We start from the raw sequence: 10407 nt of genomic DNA, 5'->3' as shown, positions 1-10407 counted from the left end.
TAATATGGACCCAGTTTTGCCATTGAAAAGTTAGGCCCAGAGAATTAAAGTTCCATAGATTATAAGTGAGAAAGCAAAGAGGCTTAATCCAAAGATTTCAGGTGACACCTTGTGTAAGGGATATCAGTGAGACTTTACCCATTCACTAAATACCAACAAGGACCATATTCTGTTCTCCTGGCCTATTTTCAGGTGACGGAGGTTTGGTGATAATAACTGCACTTCGGCTGATAAGAAAAATTTCCAGTCAAGTTCTAAATTAATAGGATAACAAATCACCAAAGTTAAAGTTAAGTAGAAAACTTGATGAAAATTTAGAAAAATGTACTTTCTCTTCAAAGGTGGAGTCCAAATTTTTACTGACTTTTTGCCTTCTGCAGTCTGGGAGAAGGGTCTTGCTGCTTTTCTTTCTACTTTGTCCTTGAATGCTGCTCATAATTGCCTTCGGCCCATGATACTGTACCATCATTTACCTAGAGCTGGAACATTTTAAAAATTAAATGCTACACTAGAAAAGGTGATGTCAGACCATCTAAGGTCTGTTTCTGCCTTTCAAAATTCAGTTAAGGGCATTTAATCTCTCTAATTCAGGAAAAGATGCAAATAACACTTTTGACCAAACTGCTATCTAATTAGACCAAGAGCACTAAAAGCCACTCCGTTTTACTCAACCCAGCTTTGAAAGACACAAAAGTCTGTCTATTTTGTATGATTTTTTTCTTAGGTAGATAATAGAAATGATTCTAGTTTGGCTGCTCAAGCACTGAAGTGTCACAGTGATGAGTGTCATAAGATAAATATAGGGATAGCTCCTTATAAATATTTCTTTTTGCAATCTGGTGTTGCATATGGATGCCTGGAATAGGTAATACAAATTGGTCTACTCTAATTTACATTTAAACAGGGGCTTAAGAAGGATCAGGGAGCACCACTCTGCCTTGAAAAGTTACAGCCTAATAAGAGTGACAGGAATTGTCATCAGTATTATAATCATTACCAAGTCCCAAAAATAACCTTGTTAGGAATAGATCCATCTCTGCAGGGGATATCCAAGACTGCAGTGCTTGGATAAAATATGAATCAAAGACTAATGCCAAAAAACCTAAATTACATTTTTAAAAGAGGATGTTACATTAAAATAGTGATAAGCCAGGTAATTATAGAGAATTTATGTACCTTTTAGCATAATTAATGATATTAAGTACCAAAGCTTGAAATTTAAAATCCATTTATCTTAAATTATGCTTTTGAATTTACATATAGCATTAGAATGAAAATAAATGTAGAATGGTTAGATTAATAAGTATAAACTAAACATGGATTAGATATTCATCCATTGTGAATATTACAAAAGAAAGCAAGAATTGCTTCTCATATTAAGCAGACTCTCGTTAACTGCAGGGCATTTACTAAAACTAATATTAATATTATCTTAGTTAACTTTTCACATATAACAAGATCTGGGTAAATAAACCCTGTATGAAATCTGGAATGTAATTTATAATGAATTTGTGCTAATGATATCTAATGTGCCTAGTTAAAATGGAAGCTTTATAGAGAATAAATGCTGCTCATTTACTTCAAAGGGAGTTACCCAACATGTGTAATTTGATGGTAATTTAAGAAATAAAACAATGTTAGCTAATATAAGTATGATTTACAAATTTCCTTATGAAAATGCAGTACTCATGTTATGTATCTTTTTAATTTTTTTACTAGCTTATTAAAAAACTTTTTAGACTCTATGAATACACCAAAGATTCAAACAAATAACTGTCTGGGAATATATCCCTGTGGTAGGCAGGAAAATACCCCCTCCCCAAGATTTCCATACTGGAATCCCTGGAACCTATGAATATGTAACATTGTTACTTAGCAAAGGGACTTTACAGATGTAATTAAGGTTATGGACCTTAATATAGAAAGATTATTATTATCCTGGATTATCCAGATATACCTAATCTAATGACACAAGCCTTTAAAAGTAGAGGACTCTTTTCAGATGAAGTCAAAGAAATGTGGGCTAGGAAAGGAGAAAGATGAGGCAGAAGGTGGGGACAGAGAGAAGTATAGCAGGTAATTCGCATAGTCTCTAGAAGCTAGGGATGCCTGGCCAAAAGCCAGCAAGGAAACAGCGACTTCAGTCCTACAATTGCATGGAACTGAATCCTGCTAAGAAACTGAATGAGCCTGGAAGTAGATTCTGCCCCAGAACCTCCCATATGGAATGCAGCTAGACTGACATGTTAGTTTTAGTCCAGTGACACCCATGTCAGCCTTCTAATCTATAGAACTGTGAGATACATTTATTTTAAGCCACAATGTTTGTGGCTACTTGTTAGGGCATTAAGAGAAAACTCATACCATACTGCATATTTATATATATACACACACATACACACACACATATATATACACATATATATATAATATAAACACTTATTAGTAAGTGAACACTAGGATGATCAAAATTCACTTTCATGGTAGAACCTCATGGTATCAATATGAACAAGAATTTTGAAATTCTAAAGTTTTAGAGAATAATTTATTTAAGAATTGACATCTTAAATCATGACATAAAACAAAACAAACAGACAAACAAAACAGCATTTAAAAAATAGAACTAGGTGTTTGTGTACTCAACATTAGCTAGGGATTTCGTGGTTTGGGTTTCTTTTCTTTTTTTTTTTCAGTTTCCTATCTAAAGATTGTGTAATATTGCTGCCTGTTTTTTATATCCTCCAGTGAATTTTATCATTTTAGTAAAACTACAGTTTATTATTACAACTATTCTTTATTAAACAATGATATATATTTTTGAATCAATTTTCAGAAATACAAATTTTATTAGCATTTTTAAAACTTGCATTATTTTTTGTTTGCATAAACTCCAAATTATTAAATAAGAAAGTATTTTTTGCCCAATTTCTTTTGTTGTTTTATGAAAAATAAAATATGCCTCTCACACATTCAGAAGAAACTTCATTCAATTCTTTAGTTAACTTGCTACATCATGCTGCTGTGGGGGATCTGCTTGTCCCTTTTCCTCTAGATTCCCTAGAGCAGGGATCCCTAACCCCCAAGCCACGGATGGTACAGCAGGAACCGGGCTGCACAGAGGGAGGTGAGCAGCAGGTGAGCAAGCAAAGCTTCATCTGTATTTACAGCTGCTCCCCATCACTCGCATTGCCACCTAAGCTCTGCCTCCCATCAGATCAGCACCAGCATTAGATTCTCATGGGAGCACAAACCCTATTGTGAACTGTGCACGCACGGGATCTAGGTTGCAGGCTCCTTATGAGAATCCAGTGCCTAATTGTCTGTCACTGTCTTCCATCAGCTCCAGATGGGACCATCTAGTTGCAGGAAAACAAGCTCAGGGCTCCCACTGGTTCTACATTATGGTGAGTTGTATAATTATTTTATTATATATTACAATGGAATAATAAGAGGAATAAAGTGCACAATGAATGTAATGTACTTGAATCATCCCCAAATCATCCCCCTCCACCATCTGGTCCGTGGAAAAAAATTGTCTTCCACAAAACCAGCCCCTGGTGCCAAAGAGGTTGGGGGCCACTTCCCTAGAGGAAGGAAATTCTTCTCTCACAGAGGGAACAGAGCATGGAGTGAACACTGCCCCCACTCCACCCCTCTGTTTACTTCCCTCAGGGAAGAGAGAATAACTATCTGCTTGGTAAGATCCATTAGGGTCCAATATCTATTGTCTGCACTGTCTATCAGAAATGCTTGCTTTTCCTAATTATATTTTTGTATCTGAAAATCAGCATTGAATAATGTATTATAAAGTACAGAAGAGTTGTTGTTGTTTTTAACTTTTATTTTAGGTTCAGGGGTACATGTGCAGGTTTGCGATATAGGTAAACTCATGTCACAGGGAATTGTTGTACAGATTATTTCATCACCCAGGTACTAAGCCTAGTACCCAACAGTTATTTTTTCTGATCCTCTCCCTCCTCCCACCCTCCCCCTCCAAGTCAGCCCTAGCATCTGTTGTTCCCCTCTTTGTGTCCATATATTGTCATCATTTAGCTCCCACTTGTAAGTGAGAATATGCAGTGTTTGTTTTTCTGTTACTGTGTTAGTTTGCTAAGGATGGTGGCCTTAGAGTTTTGACAAAATAATGAAGCATAAAGATAAAGCACTCAGCTATGTAAATGTTGTGCTTTTAGTGAGTCACCAACTGATGTTTTGGAGAACAGCATAAGAAAATAATCTCAACATTATTTTCGGTCTATTTTGACAGTGAGTTCAAAAAATTCCCAAAATATGTAATGGAAAGACCCAGGGACCCTCAGACTGTTTACAAACATATTCTTTCCTGGGTTCTCATAGCAATTTGCTCCCATTTCCTCAGTAAGACTTATTATCCTGAATTATAATTGTTTGTATTTGTATTTCCTGCCCCTTCACCTCTTCCTTCATCTCTTAGAACTTACCTGCTTCTCCTGACACCTTCCTCTCCTTTATGTTCTATTACCAGTTTGTCTCCAAGTCCCACAGATTTCACTTCCCAAACTCTTTAAAATCTGTCCTCTCCACTGTCATCATCCGCATCCAAGTTATCGTTTACCTAGCCTTGTAGCATGGCAATTGCCTCCTAACTGGCTTCTCTAACTAATCTTGTCTCTGTCAAATCTTTTTTCTACTTTGCAGACGTGGTGATCTTTCCAAAATGGAAATCTGATAAGCTCTCATGCACTTGGCTACTTGTCAGCTTATTCTTGCAGCACTCTTACCCTCTATGATAGTAGATACAGATGCTCCTCCACTTACAATGGGGTTACATCCTGATAAACACATCGTAAGCTGAAAATATTGTAAGCCAAAAATGCATTTAATACGCCTAACCTACTGAACATCATAGACTAGCCTAACTTAAATGTGCTCAGAGCACTTATACTAACCCACAGTTGGGCAAAATCATCTAACACACAGGTTATTTTATAATAAAGTATTGACTAGCTCATGTAATTTATTGAATACTGTGCTGAAAGTGAAAAACAGAATGGTTGTATGGGTATGGAAAATACAGTTTCTACTGAATGCATATTGCTTTCTCACCATCCAGTTGAAAAATAGTAAGTTGAACCAGCATAAGTCAGAGACTGTCCGTATACATTGAACACATAGTGCATGCTTAACACATTGTGCTTACTGCTCTGCATATAATATTTAACTCAGTCCTCACAGACCACTTTGAGGTTGCTATGTAAGTTGTGTCATCCCCTTAAGCAGTTGAGGAAACTGACGCAGAATGTGGTTAAACAATTTACCCAAAGAGCCACAGCTAATTATTAGTAGGTCTCTGTTTGAAGCCACCTAATTTGAGTCCAGATCCTACTTTCTGAACCTCCATTCATGCTTAACTTTTCTTTTCAGTTTCTTAAAGGCTATGTGTTCCTCCCTGCATTTTGTTTTGTTTTGTTTTGTTTTGTTTTGTTTTGTTTTGTTTTGAGACGGAGTTTCACTCTTGTTGCCCAGGCTGGAGTATAATGGCACGATCTCGGCTCACGGCAACCTCAGCCTCCCAGGTTCAACGGATTCTCCTGCCTCAGCCTCCCAAGTAGCTGGGATTACAGGTGTCTACCACCACGCCCGGCTAATTTTTGTATTTTTAATAGAGACGGGGTTTCACCATATTGGCCAGGCTGGTGTCAAACTCCTGACCTCCAGGTGATCCTCCCGCCTTGGTCTCCCAAAGTGCTGGGATTACAGGCATGAGCCACCACAACCAGCCAATGCCTGGACTTTATCCATGTTTTTCCCCCATACCTGAATCACCTTTTTCTCCATCTTTACCTAGATAGCTAATTCTGATTCTTTGTATCAGCTCAAGTGTGACTTACTCCCAGAAGGCTTCTCTGACTCCCTAGGCTACATCTGCTTTCTTTTTTAGAAGATGTCATGGACTTTTATCCTTCCCTTCATAGCACTTACTGTGCAGTCAATCACTCTTGGTTGTGTTTATTCCATAACACTCATCTCCAACACCAGCTGATGAACCCCAGAAACAGGACTCTTGTCTGATGCTGCTCACCATTGTGTCCTCAGTGCCTATAGCTGTATCTAGAAAAGAGGTGCTTAATAAACACAGGATGAAAGACTGAAGCAATGCTTCTTTCTGCTTTTAACCATATTCTCTCTCTGATCCCTTCACATGCTACTATACAAGCTCCCTACAGTGTTTAAGTATGACATCTTTTAGCTCCACCTTCTGAGATTCAGTAAGGCTCTTTCTCCAGCTTTAGTTTGAAAACTTCTAGGCTGGGCACAGTGGCTCACGCTTGTAATCTCAGCACTTAGGGAGACTGAGGCGGGCGGATCACCTGAGGTCAGGAGTTCAAGACTAACCTTACCAACATGGAGAAACCCTGTCTCTAATAAAAAATACAAAATTAGCCAGGAATGGTGGCACATGCCTGTAATCCCAGCTACTCAGGAGCCTGAGGTAAGAGAAACACTTGAACCTGGGAGGCAGATGTTGCAGTGAGCTGAGATGGAGTCATTGCACTCCAGCCTGGGCAGCAAGAGAGAGATTCCATCTCAAAGAAAAAGAAAAAAAAAGAAAAGAAAAAAGAAAACTTCTAGAGAAGGAGCTTGACTGGCATGGCTAAGGTCAGGTTCTACCCCTAGACCCGTTGACTCTGATCAAAGAGGCCATATTACGATGTACGTCTGAATATTCTCACCTTTCTCAGAAAGAGGGAGATCATACCGTTCTAAAAAGACATTCCAATTGATGTCCACTACAACATCCAAGTGAATGCTAGTCCAATTGAACTTAATTAAAATAATGGCAGTATAGTAACCATTTACCATAAGCAAAGCATGTTGCTAAATGTTTTACCTATGTTGTTTCATTTTATATTTATGATAATCCTATGATGTAGGTTTTCTTATGTGTATTGTTATCCCCATATCACAGAGGAGAAATTAAGACTTAGAGAGTTTAAGTGATGTATTCAGAATCATACAGCTAGAAAATGGCAGAGTGAACCCTAACTGCAAAGTTTGTGCTCAGAACTGCTACACATCCTGCCTTCTTAAAGTAAAGCTATTTGAGTATACAGATAACCAAAATTTTACTAGATGATTAGTTGCATCCATGTACAGATGTAAAGGAAAGAATCCTCCTAGTAATTACACACAGAGTCTGTAATACAAAGTTACGAATTGGGAGGAGGAGGAAAAATAAGATGTATATAAAATACAGCAAGGGTTATCTCTGACTAATGATAGTAAAATAGTAAAGGTAAATAAATAAGAATATGTGAAGTTGTGTTAACCATAACCATGCACACACAAACATACACAAGCAAATACAAAATAAATAAGCAAGGAATTTGAAGCCATCCCAGTACTGTTTATTGTACATGACCTAACCTGGGGTTGAAATAAGCCCTCTCTCAATATGTGCACAAAAAGACAAGCGCACATATTGATCAGAAAATCGTGTTTCAATACACTCATTTTCATTTTCAAAGTTGAAATTTTTATTAGATCCTCAAAAGTATTGTATTCAAATTCACTCAAGAGAAATCTTTATAAGAGAAAATATAAATTGAATTTCACGTGCTACACCTATTTTAGGGATTTGGGAATAAAAGATAAAAGAAACTAATTTTCTATAAATCCTGGTGTATTATCAAAATGGTACACTAATTTTTATATTAAATTATTTAACTATTAGCATATAATAAAATTAAAAATGATAGTTCTGTTTTACAGTTACAAAGCATTGAATTTGAATATAATTTAATAATAATATGTAAAATGCACTATCATATGAAGTTGATCTGATTAACTTCATAATTTGATATACTTATAAAATACTATTAAAAATATATTAACATGGTTCCCTTTAAAACATTATTTCCTCTGATATGACTATGCCCAATGCTTTAATGCATATGACCAAATGCTTTAATTTATTCCCTAAACATTATCTTGACACTATTGGTTTCTATAATTGTTTTCTAGATAATTTAACTATAAAACATTTCAATATTTCAGTTTTATCCTGTATGTGATGCATCATTAAATTGTATTGTATAAATCTGTTAGATATCATAAAATGCTCCTATAATTAAACCAGAGAAGTATATATGAATTGGATCCTGTTCTAATTGTCATTTATTCCAATTTCGATCTGTTTAAAAATTGGGCTGAAAGTAGATGTTAAAATCTGAGAAACTTAAAGGAAATGGTGTATTTATGGATCAGGTTTTTAACATCTATGAAAGAATATTCAAAAACAGGCATTTTCTTTCAAAATACAATTATAATGACACCATAGATTTTTTTAATTTAATTTAATTTTATTTTATTTTATTATTATTATACTTTAAGTTTTAGGGTACATGTGCACATTGTGCAGGTTAGTTACATATGTATACATGTGCCATGCTGGTGCGCTGCACCCACTAACTCGTCATCTAGCATTAGGTATATCTCCCAATGCTATCCCTCCCCCCTCCCCCCACCCCACAGCAGTCCCCAGACTGTGATAGTTCCCTTCCTGTGTCCATGTGATCTCATTGTTCAATTCCCACCTATGAGAGAATATGCGGTGTTTGGTTTTTTGTTCTTGCGATAGTTTACTGAGAATGATGGTTTCCAATTTCATCCATGTCCCTACAAAGGACATGAACTCATCATTTTTTATGGCTGCATAGTATTCCATGGTGTATATGTGCCACATTTTCTTAATCCAGTCTATCATTGTTGGACATTTGGGTTGGTTCCAAGTCTTTGCTATTGTGAATAATGCCGCAATAAACATACGTGTGCATGTGTCTTTATAGCAGCATGATTTATAGTCATTTGGGTATATACCCAGTAATGGGATGGCTGGGTCAAATGGTATTTCTAGTTCTAGATCCCTGAGGAATCGCCACACTGACTTCCACAATGGTTAAACTAGTTTACAGTCCCACCAACAGTGTAAGAGTGTTCCTATTTCTCCACATCCTCTCCAGCACCTGTTGTTTCCTGACTTTTTAATGATTGCCATTCTAACTGGTGTGAGATGATATCTCATAGTGGTTTTGATTGGCATTTCTCTGATGGCCAGTGATGATGAGCATTTTTTCATGTATTTTTTGGCTGCATAAATGTCTTCTTTTGAGAAGTGTCTGTTCATGTCCTTCGCCCACTTTTTGATGGGGTTGTTTGTTTTTTTCTTGTAAATTTGTTTGAGTTCATTGTAGATTCTGGATATTAGCCCTTTGTCAGATGAGTAGGTTGCGAAAATTTTCTCCCATGTTGTAGGTTGCCTGTTCACTCTGATGGTAGTTTCTTTTGCTGTGCAGAAGCTCTTTAGTTTAATTAGATCCCATTTGTCAATTTTGTCTTTTGTTGCCATTGCTTTTGGTGTTTTGGACATGAAGTCCTTGCCCACGCCTATGTCCTGAATGGTAATGCCTAGGTTTTCTTCTAGGGTTTTTATGGTTTTAGGTCTAACGTTTAAATCTTTAATCCATCTTGAATTGATTTTTATATAAGGTGTAAGGAAGGGATCCAGTTTCAGCTTTCTACATATGGCTAGCCAGTTTTCCCAGCACCATTTATTAAATAGGGAATCCTTTCCCCATTGCTTGTTTTTCTCAGGTTTGTCAAAGATCAGATAGTTGTAGGTATGCGGCATTATTTCTGAGGGCTCTGTTCTGTTCCATTGATCTATATCTCTGTTTTGGTACCAGTACCATGCTGTTTTGGTTACTGTAGCCTTGTAGTATAGTTTGAAGTCAGGTAGTGTGATGCCTCCAGCTTTGTTCTTTTGGCTTAGGATTGACTTGGTGATGCGGGCTCTTTTTTGGTTCCATATGAACTTTAAAGTAGTTTTTTCCAATTCTGTGAAGAAAGTCATTGGTTGCTTGATGGGGATGGCATTGAATCTGTAAATTACCTTGGGCAGTATGGCCATTTTCACGATATTGATTCTTCCTACCCATGAGCATGGAATGTTCTTCCATTTGTTTGTATCCTCTTTTATTTCCTTGAGCAGTGGTTTGTAGTTCTCCTTGAAGAGGTCCTTCACATCCCTTGTAAGTTGGATTCCTAGGTATTTTATTCTCTTTGAAGCAATTGTGAATGGGAGTTCACTCATGATTTGGCTCTCTGTTTGTCTGTTGTTGGTGTATAAGAATGCTTGTGATTTTTGTACATTGATTTTGTATCCTGAGACTTTGCTGAAGTTGCTTATCAGCTTAAGGAGATTTTGGGCTGAGACGATGGGGTTTTCTAGATAAACAATCATGTCGTCTGCAAACAGGGACAATTTGACTTCCTCTTTTCCTAATTGAATACCCTTTATTTCCTTCTCCTGCCTGATTGCCCTGGCCAGAACTTCCAACACTATGTTGAATAGGAGTGGTGAGAGAG

The sequence above is a fragment of the Homo sapiens genome, chromosome 1 (assembly GCF_000001405.40).
Source record: "Homo sapiens chromosome 1, GRCh38.p14 Primary Assembly".
NCBI classification, from domain to species: Eukaryota; Metazoa; Chordata; class Mammalia; order Primates; family Hominidae; genus Homo; species Homo sapiens.
Note: the sequence above shows the minus strand (reverse complement) of the source record.